Source organism: Homo sapiens, chromosome 10 (genome assembly GCF_000001405.40).
Source record: "Homo sapiens chromosome 10, GRCh38.p14 Primary Assembly".
NCBI lineage: Eukaryota > Metazoa > Chordata > Mammalia > Primates > Hominidae > Homo > Homo sapiens.
In genome coordinates this window covers 25,156,404-25,183,888 of record NC_000010.11, presented here as the reverse complement: position 1 = coordinate 25,183,888, position 27,485 = coordinate 25,156,404, and the positions used below count along the sequence as shown (strand labels likewise).

Sequence of the window (27,485 nt, the reverse complement as noted above, 5' to 3'; positions counted from 1 at the left end):
TATAATTCTTTACTATCATACCATTCCTTCTTTCTCAGATAAAAGCCATGTGTCAAATTCTTCTCTGATAATGTAACAAGGCATACACATTGGACAAAAGACATAAATGGTGAGAAAGCTAAATAAATAAACCAAAACCTTACATAACTCTAAGATTCCTTTTAAGCTATAGGTGCAGTGGGTACTTTGCCAATCGGACAGGTTTTTAAAAATCCTACATTGTCTTGTTTTAGTCATATTTATTAAATGAGGAAGATTATAACAGATATTAAAATGAATAAAAATTAATTGGATCTCAATTAAATAGAAGTATTAGCAACTTTGTGTGGGGGAAGAGAATAGAGACAGAAGCTGCCACCTTGTACAAAAAGATAGGTAACAGGATTTTTGTTTGGAAAAATAAACTTTACTACCTTGGGATCAGATTATATTTAAGCTAATTTGTGTTTCCTCTGAGCTCTACCTATAATGAAAGTAATAAAACTAGATTTATCCTATGATTGCTTTGAGGCACTCAATAATATCCTTGGGTATAAAAAAGAAATTCACTCATGGTTTCTATACTAGATTTGGCACTGTAGGAAAGAGGAGGGTGTGGAGGGGCAAAGCTGTGAAAGACTTAGCCAAGAGGACTAATCCTCTCCTAAACTGAAGTATTTCATGGGACAGTCATCTACCCAAATATTTGTATAGGTCAAGTTTTTCTTCCTGTAGGAAGAAAGACTCAGGAGAGTAATTGCACAGCCAAAGTGGAAATTACGCTATGTGTAATTTTAGTTTGTTACTAAACAAATTTTAGTTTATTACCAAAAGCTGAAAAGCAGATAAAGCAAGCAAAACAAGCCCCACTGATGCGTATGACATTGCTGTGCTGGGAAAAGCTTCACAACGCTGCTGGCTGCAGACTCTCCCAAGCATAGCCCCAGTACTAGTGAACTGCCTATTTGCACATAACAGCCATGAAGCTGCCAAAGTTATCAAAATCCAAATGTGCTATCTTAGTAATTCTGCATAAATAACTCTTTGAACACCAAATCAGCACTGAACAGAGAAAACAGCCAGGGCCTAATGCTTCTGTACCAACCAAGTGCAAAATAGCATCAACAACATACGCCTTGGCATCACAGTATATTACAATGTAATCATAAAATGCAGTGTATGTTGAATCCAACAGCACTCTTAAGACTGAAAAAGGGTAGCCTTAAAATCTGAACCATGTGCAACAAACTGCTGCCTTTCTGGAGTTGAAAGTAACATTTGGCTTATCCAGAAGTTGAGGCTGGAAAATCAGTCTGGTGAGAGCCTCAGTTATCTCTCCAGACAGTAAGCATAACTCTTGTAATTTATTTTGCAGTTTGGGAAATCCCCTTTCTACTTCCAAATGCATATTCTAGAAAATGGGAGGATAATCCTGTACCATTGCTACACCACAACATGTAACCCTTTTTTGAAATTTTAAAGCCAACTACAGAGGCAAATTGAAAACAGGTTGTTTTTAAAAAGTAAGTAGGGAGCTTCCAAATGTCGAAACATGTATTCTCTCGAGAGAAATTATAGAGGTATACTGAGGCCCTTGGTCTAGAAATCTACGACGAAACTTCATGTTGACTCCAAGTAAATCAGGAAGTCTTAAGTCCTGTAAACTCAGATTATGCTTATTCTTATTTTGAAATGGAGTTCTCATTTCCATTATTAGTTTATGTACTTAACTCATTGTACATTGATAGGACTTTCTGTAAATATTCTGTGAGTAAATGATCATTATAAAGTCAAACATGGAACATATGAACATGTTCTGCATTTATATAGCATTCATTAACTGATTTCAGCAGTGAATCAAATAAAACTTTACAAGTTAAAGCAACGCATTGGGCTAGGTGTGATGGCTCACACCTGTAATCTCAACACTTTGGGAAGCTGAGGCAGGTGGATCACCTGAGCCCAGGAGTTCAAGACCAGCCTGGGCAACATGGCAAAACCCCATCTCTACTAAAACTGAAAAAAAGAGCCAAGCATGGTGGCTCGGGCCTGTAGTCCTGGCTACCCAAGAAGCTGAGCTGGGAGGATCACTTGAGCCTGGGAGGTTGAGGATGCAGTGACCTGAGATCGTGCCACTGCACTCCAGCCTGGGCAACAGAGTGAGATCCTGTCTCAAAAAAAGAAATAAATAAAATAAAGTGACATATTGAATGATGTGCATAATCATGGACCTTTAGGTTTATAAGGAGTCATCTTGTCCAACCTTCTCAATTTACAGTTGAAGAAACTGAAAATTAAAGAGGCAACTCCTGCCTCTGGTAACACCCTAAGTCAAAGATATAGTCCAGGCTGGTATCAACTTCTTCTGTCTCTAAGGCCAGTATTTCTACCATGACCCATCGCCATCACAAGCCTTCATAATGATTAGAAACAAAACTAAACCTCTATATAAGTTACAAATTACTATAAGTCAAATGACTTTAATACTAGTAAATGAAGACAGTTATGGCCAGCTGAGGATGGTATTTGGGAAGACAGAAGCTACAATACAAAAATATTTACTAAACTTCCTATGTGATGACAGTTCTTCATTTAGTTTTTACAGAATTTCAAAGGAGATTCACATTACTCTTCATAGCTTAAAGATGATGTAACTGAGACTTAAAAGCCTCCACAGCAGAAGTTCATCTGAAAACCTTTTAATCTGTAACCCAGGCAAACACCTCTCGGCTATTCCTGTAGGTAAGCCTACTCATCATTTTCAGCTCCTATAAGAAAGACATAGGGTATGTTTGGCCTAGAGCAAGACGGTCATTTTTCTTACACTGTGTGAATTGCCCTCTTTTGTTGAAAGCAGAAATCTGTAATAGAATCACTGAAGGAGGTGTGTGGGTGTCTTGTGTGAGGGAGAGAAAGTGAAGTGAGCACTCAGGCAGTCAGTGAATCAGTGACACTAATGTTCATTAGTTTCTAAAAAGAGATTTCCATACTATTGTGATCTTTCCTTTATCTCCCTATTGATTTTTCTTTCTTTTTTTTTTTTCTTAACCAAATACCAGGTCTAACATTCACTTGGTTTCCTCTTCCTCTGCATGAGACTCTCCCATATCACTTCCACAAGGTACTGGATTTATGTATATCAACCCTGTTTCCAAAACATATTTGTTGACCATGTGGATAGGCCAATTAAGAAGTATATGGAAATCATCAAGTCTATTTCCACATTTGTATTATGCAGAAACTGATTTCCAGACAGGTATTACAGCCAGTCAGAGACAAAACTGGGACTTGAGGCAAAGTTCCACCTCAAATTGAATACTCTTCTCACTGTACAACATACTTGGTTGCATTGTTGGCCCAAAAAGAGTAAGTGTATATCACTGGTTTGGGCAAAGTATATTACTTAATTCAAGCCAATATCATCTTATACATTTTTAATGACAAAATTGGGGAATCAAGAGATAGAAATCAGCACAGGATGGTGGAAAGACTATACAGGCTTCATAGCTGGACAGATCTAAATTTTATTTTAGCTCCTTCATTTACTAGCTACATTAGCTTGGGCAAGTTGCACAACTTTTCTGAACTGGTTGCTACCTGAGAGTTCTAAGAATTAAATGTACTGAAATATATAAAGTATCTAATGCATATAGATGCTCAATAAGTATTGGTTTCCCTTAATTCCCACCCACCACAAAAGAGTTATTCCACTTCTAGCAAATTCCTTTAGCTATTTGGGTCTCAGCTTCCTCAACTATAAAATGAGGAGAAACCAAAGGAATTCCAAATTCCCTCTCAGGCTCATCGAGAATTAATTCTTTAAAGGAATTTTAAAGAAACTCACCTTCTTTTAAATTCAACAAACCCTTAAGTACCTGCTAACCATCCTAGGCACTGAACAATTCCAACCACCACCAGAGAGCTATCTATGCATTCAACGGAATGGGATCCAACTCCATAGTACTTTAAGTCCCACGAAGAAAAATCATTATGCAAACAAAAGAACCCTAGTTTTAAGGAAAATGCTTCAAGGATATTACAAAGCTAATGTTAAAAGTAAAAATATTTTCAGGGTATATCTTAAATTATTACTCTCTCTTTTTTGCTAGGATGAAAAATGAGAACCAAGTGTTCATACCATAGATATGTAACAAAAGACTCAAGAAATTCTTAGTTAAGAGAAATGAGTGCCATTTTTTCAAAGACAAAAAATGAGCAATAAACTTCTCTTCCCATATGTGTATTATGCTGGGTCTTAAATTTTAAGATACTTGTGTCATTCTGAAACATAAGGGAATAGAATTTATTCTGAGAGATTGTTTTACAGTGATAAACAGCAATATAAGAAGATATTTTTATGTTGAACTTCTTATAAGAAGTTCTACATATTACTTTTAAAGTTCATGCTTTCGATTTATATTATCTAAAAATGAAATGTAATTTAATTTACATTAATTTAAATGTCTGAATCTTGTAAGTAAGACCTGGGAAAATATTAACTAATCTTAACTAAAAGTTTTTTTCTCCTTTTCTCCTTCACAAGTAAACCATTATCAATGGATTTTCTGTTATACATAAAACTTTTTGCAAATAACACTTCACATGTTTAAAAGACTATTTCAAATCATGATCAGGGCTCCTAATCTGGTTTACCAAAAATTCATTTGAGGTTTACCTTGTTACCATACCTGTCAAATACTATTCACCTATATTGTAGAATTTTAGAATGCATATCTTAGATGATAAAATATCATCAACAAAAAACCTTTTCCTTTATGAGTATGAAGATATACAGAAAGGGCCCATTTTAATATTATCTCAATATATGAAATTAACAATGTAATCTCTTTTTTAAGTGACAGCTGTTTTCTATGGGCTAATTTTTTTGGTTGTCATAAGTAATGATAGAGAATAAAGTATGTCCCTAACACAGGTTGTGTACAGAGGTCCAGAGAGCCACAGACACTTGCATTAGGTATATATTTATCAAGTATAGGATAAACCAGAGGCAGAAGGCCTGGATCCCATTTCTGTTGTTGCTACAAACTTGATACATGATTTTTGGACAAGCCACTTTATAGTTCTGTTTCTTCATCTATGAGACAACAAGTGGAACTATCTGATGCCTGTAAGATTTTCTTCTGGTTTCTACTGTGTGGACCCTCAATACAGCATTTGAAGGGCACAGGATATGGGGCCAAAGCACTCACAGGGGAGCACTTACCTTGTGATTCTACTGAGACAAGCCAGCTTCTATAGAGAGCCAGACACTAAATGGCTGGCTGTGTGCCTTGGCTGAAGAATACCATCTTTGTCTATAAAGGCACTTAAAGAAACAAACTATTTTCTAAACAGAGTGAAAAAACAGGGAGTGTCTGAGCCCTCTCAACCTGAGACTCTTTGTGTCCTCAGCCTCTCAACTTGGCTGCCAGAAGGCACTGAGTTCATTTAGGCAACCTATGCTTTCTGATCCATATGATTAAGAGAGATAATTCTGAAAATGAATGGTTTTCATCCTCAGTTCCACAGCGGCCCTTGAAAATACATATATTTTACACAGTACCTACATTGTTTATAGCAACCCCTAGGACACCTTCATAGAACAGAGTTTGGAATGGTGGTACATATGATATGAAGTATGAAGTGGGCTTAAATCCTGGATCTGCTATTTTACTGCTGTGCAATCTTAGGCAAGAAGCTGAACCCCTCTGGGCTTCAGATTCCTTTTCTGTAAAATAGAGAAAATAATAAAACCTAACTCATAAGGTTGTTGTAAGGGCTAATCAAGACAACGCATGCAAAGCAGTTAGCACAGAGCCTGACATAAAGCGAATGTTAGATGAAAAAGACAGATAAATCCTGGGACTTGGGGCTCCCTAAAAAGACTCATTTAAAGGCTACAGTTTGCTGGCAGTGAATAGCATCTGCTGGTCTTTCCTCTTCTGAGCAAACAGTATGGCAAAGATTCAAAGCTGGGCTCAGCTCTTACTAATAGGATCCTGCAGGAATTAGGAGGAAATGAGATTATCTTGAAAGTAGAAAAGAGTTAGTCTGGTTTAAGACAAGACCTTTAAAAGAGATAGAAACACAGGCAAAGACACACACACATGCACTTAATATGGTCATACAGAATCAGACAAAGGGGTTTATTATCCTTTATGCCTTTGCAAGTGTTGCCAACATTAAAAGCTACAAAACTTGATAACTGGATGGCTCCCTAGAGACTGTCTAGTTCAACTCCCTCACTGGACAGATAAGTAGCTGAGGCCCAGAGAGGTTAAGCAACTTGGTTGAGGTCATTCAGCAGTAAATGGCAGTACCAAGACAAACAAGCCTTCTGACCTTTCCCACTTGCCCACCCAGTACTTGATCTGGCATCTTTCAGCAGGTCAGCATCCTGACCTTGCTGTGACAGGGTATTTAAAAAATAATAAATAATCCACACACAAAGGTTTCTCAGTCCTGCCCAGGTTCCCAAAAAGTACAAAAGCAACCTCAGCCCCCAAGACCCTCTTTCCAGAGCCTTCCCTCATGGGACTAAGGGAAGATCTCAGTTCATCTTGGGCCCTCTCCTAAGCCCTCTTTGGTGTAACTACTCTTTCAGTTCCTTCCTCACATCTACTCTTAAAGGTTGCTTCTAGAAATTCCCCGCCTCAAAGGTCAGGCACTTCCCAGGCAGAAGTTAAAACCTGTTAATTTGCAAATTCTCTGCTTCCCTCAAATGCTATAGTTTGAGACAGGAAGTACAGACTCCCTTAAGTTTCCTCCAGCCTCCTTGAGTGAATTCAGTCACAACTGATGCCTCCCTCCCGAATATAACTAGGTCCTTTTATAAATCATGTGAGTGTGTGAAGGGCTGGAGAACCCTTAAGTATGCCTAAGACAGGGAAGAGGAGGAAAAGGCCACCGAGGAAGGAAAGATCAATTGCGGGGAGAGGGGAGACCGGTAGAAGGAGCACCCTGACCAAGCTGCAAAGTCTGGATCCCAGAGACAGCTAGCTGCTGGGACTGACTCACTGCTGAGGGGCCGGAACTGCGAGGAGATGGCACAGTTTTAATTATAAGCTCTGACTAACAACAGACCGGTGCCCCCAACTGCACACGTAGGAAGCAGGCAGAGGCTACCCCAAAGTGGCAGAAACAAGGAACTCTCTGTTCCTCCTGCTCCCTTTTCGCCTCTCATCTGAGGCTTGCCACTCCGCGGACACACCCGGCGCTCGCCAAGTTGTCGCATCGCCCCCCGGTGGGGAACGCCCCTCCCTGCTCTCCGGACAATTGGAGGGAAGCACAGAGCAGCGGGGGTGTCTCCGTCCTGCCAAGGGCTGCCTGTCCCTCGCCCAGTGCGGGGAAACTGGTCCGAGAGAATGAATGGCTTTCGCCGAGCGCCGGAAGCTGACGGGCGTGGGGCGCTTCTTGCCCCCAAGCACCCGCGCCCGCGTGGGGTGTCCCTCAGCCCGGGTCTCTACTCTGAGGGTGAGAAGCGTTCGCGTCACAGCCAAGGGTTCCTTCCTCACACGTGCACCCACCCACAAGACCGGAAGGAAAGCTTCGCTTTTGCCTTCCCCCCTGCCCCCCGGCCCTCCCTACCTGAATTCCGGGACCAGGTTAGGCTGCAACCCGTAGATGGCAGAGGAAAGAGTAACCAGCCACCCGGGCTTGTAACTCCCGTTCTCGCACTCCAGATAAGGCGGAGACCACTTGAAGTGGCTCTTGTCCCCGCCGAGCCCGTCCTTGCGCCGCCAGCTGTGGCCCAGGCCCCGGGGCCCCTGATTGGGGCCGCGGCGGTGTAAGTGGGGCCTCCACTTGCGCCGGAGGCCGTGGAACCACTCGGTCTCCAGAGTGGCGTTGGCCAGGTGGGGTGCGGAGGAGGACAGGTCTTGGAGCAGGATGCGGCTCTCCTCGCGCGTGGCCTGGAGGAAGACCTGTGGGGCCGGTGCGGACAGCGAATCGGTGCTGAAGGTGATGGCCGCCCGGGAGATGCTGGGCTCGCCCTCCAGAAGGCTCCACACCAGCGCCTGGTACCAATCCAGGTCGTCCTGCAAGTTCTGCTCCCGCGACTTATTGCTCTGCAGCATCACGTTGAGGAAGTTGGTGGCGTGTGTCAGTGTGTCCAGCGCCCGGTGCAAGGAGGGGTGCGCGCTGGCCAGGGCTGGCCACTTCCCCGGCAGGCCCGCCAACTCGTAGCGGCCGGAGCAGTTGGCTCGCTTCAGCTGGTGGGAGTCCCCGGTGTAGAGGTAAGAGGCCACGTCCATGGGCACCTCCTCGGCGAGTTTCTGCGCCAAGATGGTGCCATCGGTGGAGCGGCTCCAGGGAGCCGAGGAGTCCGAGGCAGAGGCTCGACCCGGCTGCTGGGCGTGCGGCTTCCCCTTCGGGGTCCTCTCTCGAGGGGAATCCGGCCGTCCTTGGGGGTCGCGGCTGGCGCCAACAGCTCCCAATCCCAGCTGAGCAAGCAGGAGGCAGAGGAGTAAGGGGTAAGCCATGGCTCCCATCTGCCTCCCAGAGAGAAGAGGAGGGAACGGGAGGGGGGGGAATCACTTTTTAAATTTGGATCGTCAGTTTCTCAACAGTCAGACTTTTTCGAGGAGTCTTCCCCCTTCTCCAGATGGCACCCAGTCCAAAGGACTTGAAAATAAGAATGTTTCGAGATTGGCCCCGGGTGGCTAAGCTACCGTCGCAGAAATCAAGTCACCTGTGGCAGCGCTGGCCGTGCCCGCTGCGCGAGGGGCCGGCTGGGGATTACGCACCTCGCAGCCTGGAGCCGAGCGGGTTACATGGCCTCGCGCTCCCAGCGGCTGGAGTCAGCCCGAGTCCGTCTCTCGGCCCGGCTGCCGCCACCGCCGCTCTCATTGAGGCGCGTTCAGAAGCTGCTGCTGCTGCTGCCGCCGCGGCCGCCGAAGACGCTGCTCCATAGTCTCACCCGCCGCAGGTCGTTCCCGCCTCCCGGCACTGGCTCCTCCTCGACCGCTTCGCCCGGAGGCGCGGGGCGCGCGCCCAGACCCGCACCGCGAGCGCAGCCGCGACTCCCGAGGAGCGAAGACGTCCTTTAAGACGTTCGTCTGTCCGGAGTAGCGAAGGCCGGGCGGCTGGTTAATTGCAGCCTTTAGGTTTGGCCGCAAACCACACTCCACCCTCTCTCCCTGCTCCCTCCTCGGGGGAGGAAAGCCAGTTTAAAGAGGCAGCTTGGCCGCAACCAAACCCTTGTAGGGCGGCTGCAAGTCGTCTTGTTCCCTGTTTGGTCGGCTCCTCTGTCAATCAGCCGACTGCCATTTGTGGGGCCGGGGAGGGAGCTGTCCAGTGCTGAACCCGAGGCGGCCCGCGGGCGGCGGGGGCGCGGGAGGCAGCCTGCCGAGTCCTCGCACCCACTCGCGTTCCGGATGACTCGGAAACCTGCGTGGGTGGCGTAGGGTGGGCGGCAGAGGGGGGAGAAGCAGAGATTCGGTGGCTCAGAGCGAAGGAAACTTGGACGTACTGAGGGGGAGGGTGTTGGCGTCTTGCATGCTTAGTTAAATCAGCCTTTTGCCTGGAAAAGAGGGAGAAGGGAGTAGTTTTCATTTCTAGGTGAAATTAGACAGAAGGGACATAGGATGGAGACGTGTCCTCCTGAGCATCTGCTCATTTTAGGCAAATTATCAAATCATCTTTCTTGTTGTCAGTTAAAGAAATGATTAAAACATACTTGTCTAGGCTCATCTTAGCTGAGGGAGTAATGGAGAAATCTACCAGCTGTGCTTTAAGGAGAGAAAAAAAAGTCATATTTAAGGAATCTCTGCTTGGGGGCCAGAATGGAGGGGAACGTGTAAAAATGTATGCAAGTAAAGATGTGTAAGGGAGAGAGCAAGGGGGAGGACTCATGAGCTCTGGGAGAATGAGAAGGAGCCTGTGTTGAGTGAGAAGGGAAATCATCCTGACTGGGAGTTCCTGGAATTGAGAGATAAGAACTAAGACTTCTATTTAGCTAAAGGTTGGGATATCCCAGCAGAAGAAAGAAGAACTGAGCAAGTATGCCAAGTCCCCCAAATTATTGGTAAATTTCTTAACACAATCTAATTGATGTTTTGACGCTTATTAGAGAATTTAAGTGTCTTCTGACACTCCAAAAGTAGACTGGTACCAGAAAAGTAGTGTTTTGCACAGCTAGCTCCACTTTCCATATGCACCTCTATTTTCAAATTCCCCAAGAAAGACACAAATAGAAAATATCCAACTTACTTTAATTCCCAACTAACAAAAATGTCCCTCATGGCATTCTAAGCAGGCACTGCTTAGATTCACTGTACTATTTCATGTCATCCTTCCTATTGAGAAAATACTTAAGGACTGGAATGTAAGCTCCAAAAGAGCAAAAATCTTTGTCTGCATTGGTCACTGAGGTACCTTGAGCACCCAGAACACTACCTGGCACATAGTAGGCTCTGGCTAAATAGTTGCTAAATTAGTGAATGAATGGGAAGATCATGATGATGAAGCTAACTTAAAAATCAATCTCCTCACCCAAGAAGAGAAGTCTGCCTGACACACCAGTGATGAGGGTTTTTGGAAGAAGACACAGCAACCAGTTTTTCAAACCGCAGTGGTTGGTCTCCAAATGAGTTTTTATAGTTATGCAAAGAGTGGTTATTAGATTTATATTTACTTACAAGTAGATTTCATGTTCATTTCCGACTTTTTGTTTAAATTTTTCTTTGCAATGTATGCTCCTATGCTAAGTAAAGGTCATCCCGGTTTAGTGCTCTGCCACAGTATGGGTGGCAATAATAACAGAAAGAGTTTCTGCTTATTTAATGTATCAAAGTATAAACTATGGTATTCCATTTACTTAACCATCTAAAGTCCGAAGTATAATTTCCTCATTCATTGATCCTTTTAGAAAACCTATATAACTTATTAACAATTCTTTAAAATCCTCTAGTATCTAACTTAAAAGAAGACATAATTGTATTCGTAGATCCTTCTGTAAGTAATCAAATGAACTAAGCACAATCAAAAGACCTGGATTCTGGTTCTAGCTTTATTTTAAAGGAAGATATATGACCACTGGCAAGACATTTAAAATTTCTGTGTCTTGGGACACAAACTGTGTGTGGGCCTCGGGATTTCACATTGAGGTTGTACGGGGGAGGCACCTGAGCTAGTCTCCCAGGGCACCAATCCTTTCCCAAGTGCATATCTAATGAGAAAGATGCAGAATATGAGAGACTCTTGCAATTATAGTATTCCCTTCAATGGATCCCCTTCAACCTACATTGCCAAACAGCTGGGATGAGCTAGTTGGATCTAGAACAGCACTGCCCAATAGAAATACAATGTGAACCAGAAGTAGGATCCTTATAAATAATTTCAAATGTTCAAATAGCATATTAAGATAGTAAAAAGAAAAAGACTGAAATTAATTTTAATAGTAAATTTTATGTAACCCAATATATCCAAATTTTTATCATTTCAATAAGTAAACAATGTAAAAGTATTAATGATATATTTTACACTTTTTACACTAAGTCTTCAAAATCTGATTTGTATTTTACACTCACAGCACAAGGCACTTCACACTAGCCACATTTCAAGTGCTGACTAGCCACCCGTGGCCAGAGGCTACCCTAGAGTACAAGCTCTAGAAGACAGTCCATTGCGGTCCAGAGTGCTAAGAAATCTAGGTCCATGCAAGATAAGGCACAAAGTTCCAAATGCTCTAGGAGTTCTGGTCCATTTAATAGGTCTGGAATCAAGGTAACTGAGTAGGTAGATAATCCTATGTCTATGTTAGTGTCTATCAGTAAAGAGAATAATCCAAAAGAGATTCTTTTAAGGGATCAAGGTTTGACACACACACTCACAGACACACACACACTCCTCAAAGCAGACAACAAAATTCTACACCATCTTGCATAAGACATATTCATTCATTCAACCAATGTTCATTGAGCCTCTACTATGTATCAGGCATTGTGCTTGGTACTGGGACGAAATAGGCACATCTTCTGTCTACGTGGCTCTTACAGCCAAGTGGGTAGAGAGAGAGAGCTAGAGATAAAAATGCAAACAAATAAATAAGACAATAGCATGTTGTGATAAGTACCACGAAGAAATAAACACTGTGAAGTGATAAAGGGTGCAAGGTACAGGAGCAGAGAACATATATAAAGAGATAAAGGAAAGAAAGACTATGAGGAGGTGACAATTGAGCTGAAACCCCAAGAATGAGGAGTAACTGCCTAGGTAGTAAGTAGTAGTGAACCAGGTAAGTGTAAGATGGGAAGAAACTTACCTTAAGTAGAGGGAGTAGTGAATGGAAGCACTAAGAATACAAATATTCTCTCCTTAGCAGGAAAGGCAAGTGGAAAAAAATAAATGCAATATGCTAACGGTCATATGTAATAAGAATAGAACAAACAATCGACACAAAGGAAAATCATTTTATAAGATAAGACAGGAAGTGGGGCGGGGATGATTATCTCCCTCCCCCAATTATATAAGCATGCTTTGTAGATAGAGATAAATATCCCTATGCATGCCTCAAAATTAAGAGCTAAGTTGTCTAAATGAACATATATACTGTGTAGGAGCTTTATTGTATTTTAATAGAACTATGGGTACATGACCTATGACCATGGGTGGAAAAGCCCAAGGAGTTTTTCAACACAGCCTGAAAAGTCAATCTAATTGCTTTAGAACAACCAAATTTGCACTGATGAAAAAGCAGTATGTAATGGGCATATGGGTTATTAGTTGTCTTTATATGATTGATTTATCACTATTATAAAGAGGAAGATGTGACATTAACATATCTTTAAATAAAATAAAGGTCACAAACTACTGAAATCATATTTTATGTGAGCAGTATAGGTTGAGTTTTAAAAAATATTTAAATACAGCTTTAAATCATTTAAATAAGCAAGGATTAAGACTACAGGATGTGGTGAAAGGGCACTGGATTGGCCATTGAGAGACTCAGCTCTAACTGGTTCTACCATTTTCTAATCATGTGACTCTTGACAATTTTTTTCAACCTCCCTGAGCCCTTTCTCTAAATCTAGAAAATAGGAGTTCTGTTCAGATACGTAGTCCACAACTGGAATAATTACAGCTAAGTGTGAATCATAGTCTATGCATATTTACCAGGAACTCATTGTTCTTGTCCTCCCAGATTTATAAGGTAAAGGTTATTTTTAGATTAAATAATAATGGATCTCAGTAAACAAAGTAGCACAACTCTGGTCAAATTTCTGATAATGTAAATAAAACTACAGACAATATAGTTTTTTAATATAACACAAAATCAGAAATCCAGTTCTTATTCCTGAGTCGACTGAGACTGGCTTTCTCTAAGTATATGTTATCCCTGTGTCTCATGTGCTCATTTGCAAAATGAAGATTATAGTCTTTGTTATCCAAGAGTAATGGTTTTGAAATTTCAGGATGCAGAAGTATCGCCAAAGAATTCAAATTTTTGATCTGGGTGAGACTTTAGCATCTGCATTCTCAGGTGATTCTGATACAAATGATCCGTGGAACACATGCTGAGAAATACTGCCTTGAGCCAAGGAAAATAACTCTAAGATATTAGGAGAAAAGTCGTTTCGTCGTTTTTGTTTTTTGTTTTGTTTTGTTTTGGTAAACACAAAGGCTTACTAGCAATTGTGAAACATAGCCTGTGAAAAAATAAAACCAGTAAAAAGTATTATTAATATTATATTTATATAGCACTTATAGTGGCCAGGCATTATGCTAAGGATTTTACATACTTTAGCTCACTTAATCTTTATTATAACACTGTAAGTTTGGTACTGTTTCCACTTTACAGATGGGAATCAAACAGCCCAAAAAATAAATTGCCCTAATTCACCCATCTGGCTCCAGATGTCATGCTCACAATAATTAGACCAGTGACTCGCAAATGTTTATATATTGGATTCACCTGGAGACGTTTAGTCAGCACACAGATTAGTGCCCCTGCTCCCAAAATTGCTGATTCAGTAGTCTGGAATAGGGCCTGAGAATCCACATTCTTAACACATTTCCAGTGATGCTAATACTGCTGGCCCAGGGATCACACTTTGAGAACCACTGCCCTGTACCATGCTTTTTACCATTATAATCTGTTGCCTCTATATGCTTACACGTTTCCACGTATTTTACATGGAAAAAGGAGAAAGTCAACATGAATGAATGAAAAGATGCCTAAAATCTGCTAAGAAAAAAAATGTCTCTAGTTTGTCTATTTCCAACTGAGAAAGCTTACCCAAGATATTTATGTTTTTCACTTAGCAATTTATTCTCATCTGCCTCCAGTTTACCCTTAAACTCTTACTCCCTGTCGGCATCACTTCTAACAACACTCCAACTCTTTCTACAGTTATCTCCTCTGCTTTTCGCTATGAAGGCATGACTTGGGCTGTCCCTGAATTCTCAATGAAATGTTTTGTTTTTGTTGTTTTTTTAAGTACTACTAAAAACAGTATCATCTCCATAGTCACTGGGGCTTTGACCCAAATTGCTAGTTTCCTCCATCTTCTCCCCATCACACAAAATTGATTGGTAAACCCAAAGACATCTCAAGAACTTTCCAACCACAAGGGAAGAAAACACTAGGAGATGGTATTTATGTAGGAAAATCCTGAATGTGCTAAGGCAAAACATTTACCTAAATGACTTTCCATGTCATTGACCTGACATGCAGTGCAGTTAAGGGCCAATATACCATTTACTAAAAATTATAGCAAATTATGGACAGCCCAACTCCATTCAATCCAAAGACTGCCTCCCTTTCCCATCAAGAAATAAAAGCAACCAAAACTTTGAAACAAAATCTACTGAAAAAGATTGATCTTGTGGATAAGAAGAGATGAGAAATGGATTACTTTTTTTTTGCTCAATTTTGCCTGCTTCCCTCACTGGAGGGAAACACATCACACCTTAAGTATATGTATGTTGTCAGAGCCCACAACATCGTTTCCATCAGCACATTACCTTGTTACCTTGGGTGTCACGGGTGTTTATTTCATAATCAATGTAGGACTTGGCTTTCCGTCTTAACACAGGAGATGAGGAAAGTTGGGAACTTCAAGTATTTGGGACTGTTACTGGAAGGATGGGCCATGAGGTCCTTGGTTTTTGGAACAAAGAATTGAACAAAACACGCAAACAAGTATTAATAACAAAGGAATGAACCACAGGAATGAAACAGCAAAAGGAGGGATTTATTAAAGCAAGGAAGCACTCCACAGGGTGGGAATGGGCCCCAGCAAGTGGTTCAAGGGCCCAGTTACAAAGTTTTCTGGGTTTTAAGTACTCCTTTTGAGGTCCCTATCGGCTCCCCCTTATCTGGATGGTGGATTTGGTCTGTGGCTAAAGGCTGAGGTGAATTGGCACCCTATGCAGATGACGGGATGGTCCATACTTGGCCCACGCCAATCCTGGGCATTTTCCTTTCCACCTGAGCCTGGTGGACTAGGGAGGATTGCTGGGAGGGTAGCCTTTGATCCTTTGCTACTCTGGTGTGGGGAGATGGGGTTTTTCCTTTTGGTTTAGCTTTAGGAAGTTTGTGTTAATTGCTCTTAGGTTCCCTGCCCGCAGATTCAGGTGTTTTCCCTTTGAGTTAACATTAGGACATTATCACGAATTGGCCTTAGATTCCTTGCCCCAGACTTTGGTGTTTTCCCTTGGTTCAGCTTTAGGAAGTCAGCACCAACTTGCCTTAAGTTCCCTGCCTCCAGACCCTATTCTCCTGCCTCAGGACCACGCCTATATGATGTGTGCACATCTCACACACACACAGGACACACTAATTAATGACAATTCTTCATTGATAAAGAGCAGAAACGTGTGTGACAACATGGATAAACCTGGAGAACATTATGCTGACGTGAAATTCACCAGGCACAGAAAGACAAACACCACATGATCTCACTTATATGTGGAATCTAAAAAAGTCTCACAGAAGCAGAAAGTAGAATGATTGTTACCAGGGCCTGGGGTGGGGGCAGGGAACTGGGGAGATAGTGAAAAGACACAAAATGTCAGTTAGACAGGAGGAATAAGGTCAAGAGATCTATTACACAACGTGGTGACCATAGCTAACAATAATGTATACTTCAAAATTGCCAAGAGAGTAGATTTTAAGTGTTATTACTACAAATAAATACTAAATATGTAAGGTAATGCAAATACTGAATAATTAAGGTGGTGGCTCACACCTGTAATCCTAGCACTTTGGGAGGCTGAGGCGGGCAGATCACTTTATTCCAGGAGTTTGAGACCATCCTGGCCAACATGGCGAAATCCTGTCTCTACTAAAATTATAAAAATTAACCAGGCATTGTGACGGGTGCCTGTAATCCCAGACTGCTTAGGAGGCTGAGGCAAGAAAATCACTTGAGTCTGGGAGGTAGAAGTTACAGTGAGCCAGGATCACACCACTGCACTCCGGCCTGGGCAACAGATAGAGACTCCGTCTCAAAAAAAAAACAAAGTTGAATAATTCAATTTAGCCATTCTACAATGTATACATATCTCAACACATCATGTGGCATACCATAAATATATACAATTTTTGTCAATTTAAAAAAGTAATAAAAAGCAGAAATTATAAATCCAAACTTACAAAGATCAGGTTAAAATAATAGGAAGCTGCTTGTAAAATGTTTACTATTTTTAAAAATTGAGGGAAAATAATCCAGTAGTGTTGATTTTGTTCACATTTCAGATATTATCTTGATTTTATTTTATCTTATTACTTTTTTTTATAGAGACAAGATCTCACTATGTTGCCCAGACTGATCTCGAACTCCTGGCCTCAAGCAAATCTCCCACTTCGGCCCCCCAAAGTGCCGTGGCTACAGGCATGAGCCCCTGCCCCTAGCCCAGGTATCATCTTAAAGTTAGGATTGTATGAAATAACAAAACAAAGAAACAAACATATCACAGAAATATGTTCTAACAAAATATTGTGAAAAGAGAAAATTACTGCATATGTCCTGATGGAAATATCTTCAGGCTAAGAAAATGGACTATTACCGAGGTATGAGTCAAAACAGAAAACTGTTTTGTAGATCTATAGTTGTATTTTAACTGCAATATTATGTATGCCTAAAAATGTTTCCTCCAGACCTCTGCTGTCCCTAAAGAAAAAATAATGGTGACAAATTTACTTTCAGGCTTTTTTAATCTAACCTCTAGTCAATTGGTCTCTCCTCCTTCTCCTTCCTCTCCTCCTCCTCCTCCTTCTCCTCTTCCTTTTCCTCCTCCTTCTCCTTCTATTCTTTTTCTTCCTTTTTCTCTGACAAGCATCAAGTGCTCAATGAGAAATTAGCTGTAAGTGTGAATTGTCCCCAAGGGAAGGGAAGAGAGGGAACTTCCATATCTGTGAGGTACTTATTAAAATGTACTAAAAAGTGGCTTGTTTTGATTGCTTTGGGTGCTATCATTAAAGTAGGTCTGATGCAGAAGCCTCACTGCTGTGGCCTATATAAATCATTTCTACTTGTCACTTTGATGTACGCTTTGGAATGAACAGTTTCGGGCAAGATTTTGCCTGCTGTTTACCAACAGCTCTCTAGTCAGACACACAAGAATTTTAGAGTTTTGGTATAACAAGCTTTCAGCTCCCTTTGTTCTCTGTGTCAAAGAAGGTTCTTCAATAATAGGACTGACTTCAAGCATACATGACAATCACTCATCACAATATCTGGGGAGGCATGAGTTCTTTTAGAGCACTATACAGAAATAACAAGTTCTTATATATTGCATCGAAAAACACAAGCTAGAGGACAGAGGGCAAAAAAGAGAAACAATTTTCAAGAATCCACAGTGTCATGAGTACCAAATGTGATTAAAACGTAACCATTTCAACTGGTTGTTTTTATATCCCAAATCAGATTTTTTTTAAGTAAAGAATTACAACTTGCCAGGCACAATGGTATGTTCCTGTATTCCCAGCAACTAAAGAGGCTGAGACGGGAGGATCACTTGAGCCCAAGTGTTTGAGGCTGGCCTATGCAACATAGTGAGACTCTGTTTCTTAAAAAATAAAATAAAATTTAAGGAAGACAAAAAAAGTGATAAGAAAGCTCTCTGAATATCAAGGTTGTTTTCATTGAAATGGATTAACCAAGAAATGAAGAGAATCTCATTTCTTGAAGAATCAGTTGTGGTCTCCAGTAAAACAATATCCATGTATCAGAAATGAGCTGTATTTAATTCTGACTAGATTGACAGGTGAACCAAATAACCATGGGACTCCATCCCTTTCCTGCTGTTCTATGATAGACTAAGGAATGCATCCTATTATGTCTACACAAACAGGAAAACTAGTAAATATATATTCAACCGTAATACTAATACTTGTTTTAAGCATCAGAATCCAATCTATTTTTGCCACCACTTCTCTCATGCCACATTTTCAACCTGACATTTAAGACTGTTTACTGATTTTTTTTTTTTTTTTTTTTTTTTTTGCTTATCCCACCAGTTCTTCACGACCTTTTGGAGATTCTCCATTCCAATGAAGTTAACCTGTTTACACTCTCCCATTATAAGTTATTTGCACACTCCAGTCCTATGTTTGCCTTTGTGGAAACTAATTCTATTGAGAAAACTTTCACAAATACATGTTTCCTCTTCTTAAAACCTTTAACAACTACCAACTCTCTGAATAGACATATATCCAAAGACAATATATAAATGGTTAATAAGTGTATGAAAAGATATTCGGCCTCATTAGTGATTAGAAAAGTGAAAATCAAAACATCGGGTTCAAGTTGTTGTTTGAAAAAAACAACCAAAAAAGAAAATCAAAACAATAATGAGATACCATTACATATTTTCTAGAAGGACTATAATAAATAAGATCAACAATAACAAATGTTGGTAGGGATGTGGAGAAACAGGAAACTTCGTGGAGCAGATGGGAATGTAAAGTGCATATCCACTTTAGAAAACAATTTAGCTGTTTCTCAAAAGTTAAACAAAAACTGACAAATGACCCAGCAATTCCACTTTTAGGCACTTACCCGAGAGAAATGAAAACATATGTCCACACAAAGGTGTGGATGTGAATGTTCACAGCAGCATTGTTCATGACAGCCAAAAACTGGAAACAGCCTAAAGGTCCGTCAACCAGTGAATGGATAAAGAAAATGTGGTGCAGCCATGTAACAAAATACTATTCTGCAGTAAAAATGAACAAACCACTAACCCATGCAGCATCATGGGCACAGCTCAAAAACATTATGCTAAGTGAAAGAAGCTAGACACAAGAGACCATGCACCTATAAAAAATATCCAGAACAGGCCGGGCGCAGTGGCTCACGCCTGTAATCCCAGCACTTTGGGAGGCCGAGGCGGGCGGATCACGAGGTCAGGAAATCGAGACCATCCTGGCTAACACGTGAAACCCCGTCTCTACTAAAACTACAAAAAAAAATTAGACGAACATGGTGGCGGGTGTCTGTAGTCCCAGCTACTCAGGAGGCTGAGGCAGGAGAATGGCTTGAACCCGGGAGGCGGAGCTTGCAATGAGTCGAGATCACGCCACTGCACTCCAGCCTGGGTGACAGAGCAAGACTCTGTCTCAAAAAAATAATAATAAAAATAAAATTAAAAAAATATATATCCAGAACAGGCCTGGCATGGTGGCTCATGCCTGTAATTCCAGCACTTTGGGAGGCCAAGGCAGGCAGATCACGAGGTCAGGAGTTCGAGACCAGCCTGGCCAATATGGTGAAACCCTGTCTCTACTAAAAATACAAAAATTAGCCAGGCGAGGTGGTGCACGCCTGTAGTCCCAGCTACTCGGGAGGCTGAGGCAGAAGAATCACTTGAACCCAGCAGATGGAGGTTGCAGTGAGCCAAGATCATACCACTGCACTGCAGCCTGGGTGACAGAGCGAAACTCCATATCAAAAAAAAAAAAAAAAAAAAAAAAAAAAATCCAGAACAAGCAAATTTGTAGAGACAGAAGGTAGATTAGTAACAACTCAGCCTAGAAATGAGGACAAGAATCAACTGTAAAAAGGATCTTATTGACGGGATAAAAGATTTTCTAATACTAATTAATGGTGACAGAGGTGAAGCCGGCTGAGCTTCTGGGTCAGGTGGGGACTTGGAGAACTTTTCTGTCTAGCTAAAAGATTGTAAACACACCAATCAGCACTCTGTGTCTAGCTAAAGATTGCACCGATCAGCACTCTGTAAAAACGGACCAATTAGCACTCTGTAAAATGGACCAATCAGCGCTCTGTAAAATGGACCAATCAGCAGGATGTGGTCGGGGCCAAATAAGGGAATAAAACCTGGCCACCCAGCCAGCAGCGGCAACCTGCTCCGGTCCCCTTCCATGCTGTGGAAGCTTTGTTCTTTCTCCCCTCACAATAAATCTTTCTGCTGCTCACTCTTTGGGTCCACACTACCTTTATGAGCTGTAACACTCACTGTGAAGGTCTGCAGCCTCACTCCTGAAGTCATCGAGACCACGAACCCACCTGAAGGAAGAAACTCCGGACACATCTGAACATCTGAAGGAACGAACTCCTTGACACACCATCTTTGAGAACTGTAACACTCACCGCCACAGTCTGTGGCTTCATTCTTGAAATCAGCGAGACCAAGAACCCACCGGAAGGAATAAATTCCGGACGCAATAGCTCAGTGAAATTACTAAAAATCATTTCATTTGAAAGTAGTGATATGTAAAATGTACCTCAATAATTTTATTTTCTTTTATTTACTTTTTTTTTTTTTTTTTTTTTTTTTGAGGCAGAGTCACACTCTGTCGCCCAGGCTGGAGTGCAGTGGCATAATCTTGTCTCACTGCAACCTCCACCTTCTGTGCTCAGGTCATTCTCCTGCTTCAGCCTCCTGAGTAGATGGAATTACAGGCACACGCCACCACGCCCTGCTAATTTTGTATTTTTAATAGAGACAGGGTTTTGCCATGTTGGCCAGGCTGGTCTTGAACTCATGACCTCAGGAGATATGCCCACCTCAGCCTCCGAAAGTGCTGGGATTACAGGCATGAGCCACCACATCTGGCCCATAATTTTATTTTAAAATCAGAACTACCAACTCTAAGTAGTCCCCCAACAATTCACAATTCAATCAACAATTCACTTGATTTTCTAGAATCATCTCAGTTCTTATGAACTCATTTTGTATAATGTGTTTTATATTTCCTGATTTGATGTTATCTGTGAACATTTATGTAAACAAGAAACTTCTGGTTGCCTCGTCATCTATATAATCTATTATTTTATTTTATTTAGCAAATAAATATCTACTGGGCATCAACTATGTGCCAGACATAGTCCTAGCCTAGATAACATCTTTGATGTTCTAGACAAAAGATACCTAATTGTTCTAGATGAAAGTGATATAGCAGTGAACAGTCACGTTTCTGCCATCATGGTGCTTGCAGTCCACAGAGGAGAGCAACAATAAACAAATAAAAAATAATATGACATAATTTTAAGATATAATAAATGCTTTGAAAAAAATACAGTAAAATAAGAATATATATAGGGATTGGTGGTCAGGGAAGGCACCTCTGATTAGGAAGCACTGAGCAGACAAGTGAATGATGTGGAAGAGTGATGGACAGGAACACCCAGGAGAACAAATTTCCTGGCAAAAAAATAACGATCATAAAGGCGCTGATCAAACTCGGTCTATCAACAGGATCAAGCTCAGTCTATCCCAGGAATAGCATCAACAACTGCATGGATGAAGGCCAGAGAATTAGGGATAGAAAGAGGAGGCAAGGATCAAATCATGTAGGACTTTATGGGAAGTCATGGGGGGATTTTGCCAGGAGTGACAAAATCATAGGGGCTGCCATACAGACTTAAGAGGGAGGGTAGGAGAAGAAAAGAACCAGTTAGGAAGCTGTTGAAGTAGCCAAAGAAAGAGGTGATGGTGGTTTGCACTAAAGATGAGTGGGGATGGTCATAGTGGTTGAAAATTGTTGAATTTAAGATTGTAATTTTCAATGGATAAAGAAAGCATGGTAAACATACATAGTGGAATATTATTCAGCCATAAAAAAGAAGGAAATCTTGTCATTTGCAACAACATGGATAGAACTGGAGGTCATGATGTTATGTGAAATAAGCCAGGCACAGAAAGACAAATATTGCATGTTCTCACTCATATGTGGGAGCTAAAATTTAAAATTTGAACTCATAGAGATAGAGTAGAATGATGGTTACCAGAGGCCGGGAAGGATAGCGGGGAGTGGGGGATAAAGTGGAGATGGTTAATGGCTGCAAAAACTCAATTAGATAGAATGAGTAAGATTTAACATTTGATAGCACAATAGAATGACTACAGTAAATAATAATTTATTATATATTTTTAAATAACTGAAAGAGTAGAATTGGAATGTTCCTAACACAAAAAAAAGATAAATACTTTTGATTATGGATACTCCAATTACCCTAATGTGATCATTATACATTGTATGTCTGTTTCAAAACATCATATTTTGATAAATATAAGCAACCATTTTGTACTCACAATTAAAATTTTTTTAATTAATGTTTAAAAAGATTGCAATTTTCAGAAGATCATGAATGTTTCCCATTAGTACTCCCTATATATTAGATGCAAATAGGATTTTCCTAGTGTAGAAATAATAATAATATGAAAATCATTTCTATAAATCCATCTGGGAGTAGAATACTAAATTTAAATTTTGAAAGATTTTTATTATTTAGAAAAATCACTGTTCCTGCATATCAGCATAAAAGTACTTTTATCCCAATTGAAAAATGACCAGAAGACATGAACAGAAATTTCAAAACAAAAGAAACATATGTGACCAGTAAACATGAAAGGGATGTTCAACCATATTACTAAGTGTGGAAATGCAAATCAAAACACAGTGAGATACAAGTGAAACTGACATGCCTGACAAAAATTTAAAAGTCCAATAATGCCAAGTTACTGGCATTGGACATGGAGAAAAATGGAGGGGATGTGGATCTACAAATTGTACTCTGCTGGTAGAAATGTAAAATTAGTATGTTTTGGAAGATAATTTGCATTATCTTGTGATGTCAAGTATTCACCTACTCTATGAGCAATTTCCATCTCGATATATACGCAAAAGAAACTCTCACACAGGTATACCCTGTGATATGTACAATAATATTGCTACATCACTATTTAAATATGAAAAACCTAAAAACAACATAAGGGCTCATCAACAGGAGAACAGTTACATAAACTGTGGGATACTCACACTTTTAAAAACAAAAGCAAGGAAATTGTGAATACAGGATTCCGGGAGGTGGCTGAGCTCCTTGGGTGGAGTGAGGTATGAGGATGAGAAAGGGAAGGACTATAGAGTTAGATGTAAAATATTGTCGATGTCCTAGTTTTTGTACTAGGTGGTGGACTCATGGTTGTCTAATTAAAATAATTAAATAAATGAGATCATAAATGGACCAATGATGAAAGTGTATGGAACCAAGGATTATGGTTAATCAGAGGTCCTGAGGTCAATTAAAGAAATGAAAGAAAGGAACAGAAAGGGAAGGGAAAGGAAGGAAATAAATCATTATCAATTACCATTTCTTCTGTGGTCTTGACCCCAAATGAATGAGTCTCATGGGCTACATGACCACCCCTCACCCTTTGCAAGTCACTGGGCTGACACATCTGATAAGCCAATGGTACAAACGTCTCCATAGGTGCCAACACACTTTGCCTCCTGAATAACATGGCCAGCCCTTCTTACTGTCCTTAGCCAGTGGTCCAGCAATTTGCCTGTGGAAAGTTCTGTGCTCTGGCAGGCCTCTGGGGGTAGCATTTGAGATCAGGACGGGTTTTTCTTCAGGATATTTCTTCACCTGGATCTTTGCATTAACGGTTGTGAATCATTTACAGTACATTTTGCAGAGCCTTTATCTTGAGCAGTGTTCCACTTCAGGCTGAAGTTGAATTTCACTTTCTGAGGGTCAAGTCCTTTCTTCACTCTCCTATCTGTCTCTAAACTTATGTCATCTGTATCCACAGCACTATTCCTAGGCCTCCAAGGTGTCTCCTCAAAGACTGGCTGACCCACTTTCCAGATGGAGCCAACATCATCCTCTGTCTCATCCATAAATCATGAACAGAAGGCCCAGGAAATGAGAAGCGGAGTCCCCACTGGGAGAGTAGCAGAGCTTCCAGCATGAGGCCCACAACGAGATCACAGAAGCACAGCAGAATTCTCCAGAAAGCCAGTTGTGATCAATGGCAGCACAGCCTGGTCCCACAGGAAATGTTCCTGGATTTTAAAACACAAATAAACAGTAATGCAGAAATTAGAGAAGATGTATCATTTACCAAATTTAATCTGGCACATTTAATAATACATTATGATAATTATGGCACCTGAAAGCTAGATATAAATACTCATTCATTTGCAATTCATTGGCAATAATAGTTATTTCTGAGATTCCCTCAGACCAATGATGGTAAAGAGAAAAGATAAAGTTAATGAGCTTCTCCTCTGAGAGAAGGAGGTCACAGGCCACTCTTCCGGTCGTCATTCCCTATAAAGGATTAAAGGTATGAGCTCAGGGAAGGATGACTTCCCCCAGTACTTTCTTGAAGTTCTTTTGGAAGAAGAAATAGTTAGATACCCTAGAGAGTCTGATTTTGGTGTTCATTTAGAAGTCAAAGGCATGAGGTCAGACCTTGGTCTCATAATAGATTAGCAGCAAGAGAAATTATTACTGTGGGTTTTGTTTTTGTATTTATTTATTTATTTAGACATCAAGAAACTGTGAAACTGAGCAGCCCTTCAGTAGGAGCTGGTAGGAAAGGCAGCTTGATATGTAAGCAATCTAGAAAAACAGCTGTACTTTCAGTAATTAATAAAATTTAGTCCAAGTATTTGCCTAAGACTTTTGCTTTTTAGTACTCATACTTTTTACTACTCATTCCAAGTAAATTAAGAATTGAAGTCGGAAGGGCCAGATCACAGAATGTCTCTTAAATATAGGCAAATGATTCTAGATTTTATACAGTAATTCCTTGATCACTAATAAGTTTGTCTCTAATATTGACCCAAAGGTGAGGAAAAGAGTAGTTCTCAGACAAAAAAATGCCCAGGAATAGGTGTCAACATAGCCGAATGACTTGTGAATTAGTGAATTCCTACAAGCCAGGACAGAGCTTTTGAAAATTATAATAAAGTTATTTTCCTCTCCAGTTTTTTGGCATTGTATTACAATGTCTAGGAAGGAAGCTAGGTTTCCCCACCCTCACATATACTCCCTTCTATGAAGAAGGCAGATATAGGACAAGGACCAGGACAGTACTGGACCATAGCACTAAGGGGTAGGCTTTTAGGCATTAAGAGTGCGGAAGATAAAATTTAAAAATCAATCCATCTTAATCAATAAAACATCTTACCTCTGCATAGTATACCTACCTGAATTCCTTTTTTGGAATCTTTTTCCTTATTTAAACTTGTCATTTGAGCAGCTGAAGTAAAAATATGGGCCAGGACCCTCTTCTTAGTGAGAAAATCACTTCCTACCTTCACCCCAACAACATCGTCACTAAAACAAATCAATAAAAACAGCCTCCAATCAAAGGTCAAAGGAAACCAGAGGGAGCTAAGGGAAAATGCACCATTAAGTGGGCAGTTCAGCCTGGTCATTCTAGCTCTTCCTTCTAAGAGCTTTAGTTTTAATTCATAAATTATCTCTTCCTGGTTTGGTTTGGCTTTTGTGTTTTTTTTCTTGCCATAAAAGTGATAAGGCATGAAATTCCAAGTTTAGGGTGTGAGCCTGGGGGAAAAATTGCCAAGAAAACTATTTGGTTGCCTTCAGGCTAGGCTTCTAAGTCTTAGGGGCAAAAAAAAAAAAAAGAAAAAAAAATTCGTTGCTACTGCTCCTAGCTGAACGCACTAGACAGAGGGGCCATGTCCAAGTTGGAGTCGAAATTCTAACAATTAACAATATGTGTGACTTGGGGGTGGTTTTCACCTCCTACACACAAAGCTGAATGAGGACCCCATTCAGTCTGGCTGGCCACATTCTTTATGACCAAGACTGATTCATACCTCCCACTGCCATTGGATGGCTGTGAGGTGGCATGCAGGAGTCTTGCCTGTTACTGGGCAGGTTAGGCTAGGCACATGCCCTCTGAGCCTGGGCTGGGCAGATCTCTCATACCAGGTACTCTGCAACTCAGAAGGACCACAGGGAACACAGGGGAACCATGTGAGGACACAGTCAAACACAGGAGTAGGGGACCAAGACCATGCATCCATCCTGAATGGTTTTTTTGTTTTTTTTTTTGAGATGGAGTCTCACTCTGTTGCCCAGGCTGGAGTGCAGTGGCGCAATCTCGCTTCACCGCAACCTCCACTTCCGGAAGGGTTCAAGCAATTCTCCTCCCTCAGCCTCCTAAGTAGCTGGGACTACAGGCACCTGCCACTATGCTCAGCTAATTTTTGTATTTTTAGTAGAGATAGGGTTTTATCATGTTGGCCAAGCTGGTCTTGAACTCCTGACCTCAGGTGATCCACCCATCTCAGTTTCCCAAAGTGCTGGGATTACAGGCATGAGCCACTGTGCCCGTTCTGTTCCTGTTCAATGCAAACAGTGCTTTTTCTTGAGGTCTGACCACTGGACAACAAGAGTCAAGTGCCAGTCACCAAGATTTTGAAACTCCAAATTTGTTTTTGTTTTTGTTTTTGCTTTTTGTTTTCGAATCATTGTAAGCAAAAATCTCAGTTAACAAACTCGGATATATATGGAGTATGGTTTTAAATACTCTAGAAGCTAAATTTTTACTTTAATACTTCATCTGAATGAGCAAATCAGAAATTCAGCCTCAACCACTCTGGAAAGATCTGCCTGCCCTATACCAGACTGGACTAGGGTTCTTGGGCCTCACATGGTGGCAAGGCATGGGGTCATAGTCATCAGGATCTAGCCATGCTGTTTACCACTAAGATATAAACTGCCCTTGATTGTATAGACCGAGACCCAGTGGTTCTTCGATGCATGCCAGGCCATTCATGGGCCACAGGAATCTCTGTCCCGTGCAAAGCTGAACTCTGAGGTGCCTGTAACCTAGGATTGCCAGATTTAGCAAAAACCAAACAAACAAACACCCAGGATGTCCAGTTAAATTTGGATTTCAGATAAATAAATAATACTTTAGCATAAATATGTTGCATGAAATATTTGGGACATACTAAACAATTATTCATTATTGGCCAGGTATGGTGGTTCATGCCTATAATCCCAGCACTTTGGAGAGGTAGGAGGATCACTTGAGGCCAGGAGTTTGAGACTAGCCTCGACAACATAGTGAGATACCATCTCTACAAACAATTTTAACAATTGGAAAAAATTCTTTTTAAATAAAGTATTTTCCAGAAACTTGACAGAGTTAAAAATAAATACATGAATTTAAAAAATTAAACAAATGGCCGGGCATGGTGGCTCACTCCTGTAATCCCAGCACTTTGGGAGGCTGAGGCGGGTGGATCACAAGGTCAGGAGATCAAG

General features: G+C 41.0%; 1 protein-coding gene and 2 long non-coding RNA genes across 4 annotated transcripts in view; 1 reads left to right on the top strand and 2 right to left on the bottom strand.

The window, feature by feature from the left end:
* Positions 1-8,888, bottom strand: part of GPR158 (G protein-coupled receptor 158) — a 427,229-nt gene extending 418,341 nt beyond the window's left edge. For both annotated transcript variants that reach the window (XR_930512.4, NM_020752.3), the window contains exon 1: positions 7,567-8,888. Coding sequence is in view for 1 of the 2 variants with exons in the window: in NM_020752.3 (NP_065803.2) it covers positions 7,567-8,468 (902 nt within the window). In the remaining variant the exon portion in view is untranslated. The remainder of the gene's footprint in view (positions 1-7,566) is intronic.
* On the top strand, positions 7,613-25,817 carry GPR158-AS1 (GPR158 antisense RNA 1). The gene is made up of 2 exons (NR_027333.2): positions 7,613-8,213; positions 23,986-25,817. It is a non-coding gene; the product is annotated as a GPR158 antisense RNA 1 (long non-coding RNA).
* LINC01516 (long intergenic non-protein coding RNA 1516) overlaps positions 22,656-27,485 on the bottom strand; it is a 48,176-nt gene continuing 43,346 nt past the window's right edge. The window contains exons 7-8 of the long non-coding RNA NR_120649.1: positions 25,391-25,520; positions 22,656-24,238 (exon numbers count right to left, since the gene is read on the bottom strand). This is a non-coding gene — a long non-coding RNA (long intergenic non-protein coding RNA 1516). The remainder of the gene's footprint in view (positions 24,239-25,390; positions 25,521-27,485) is intronic.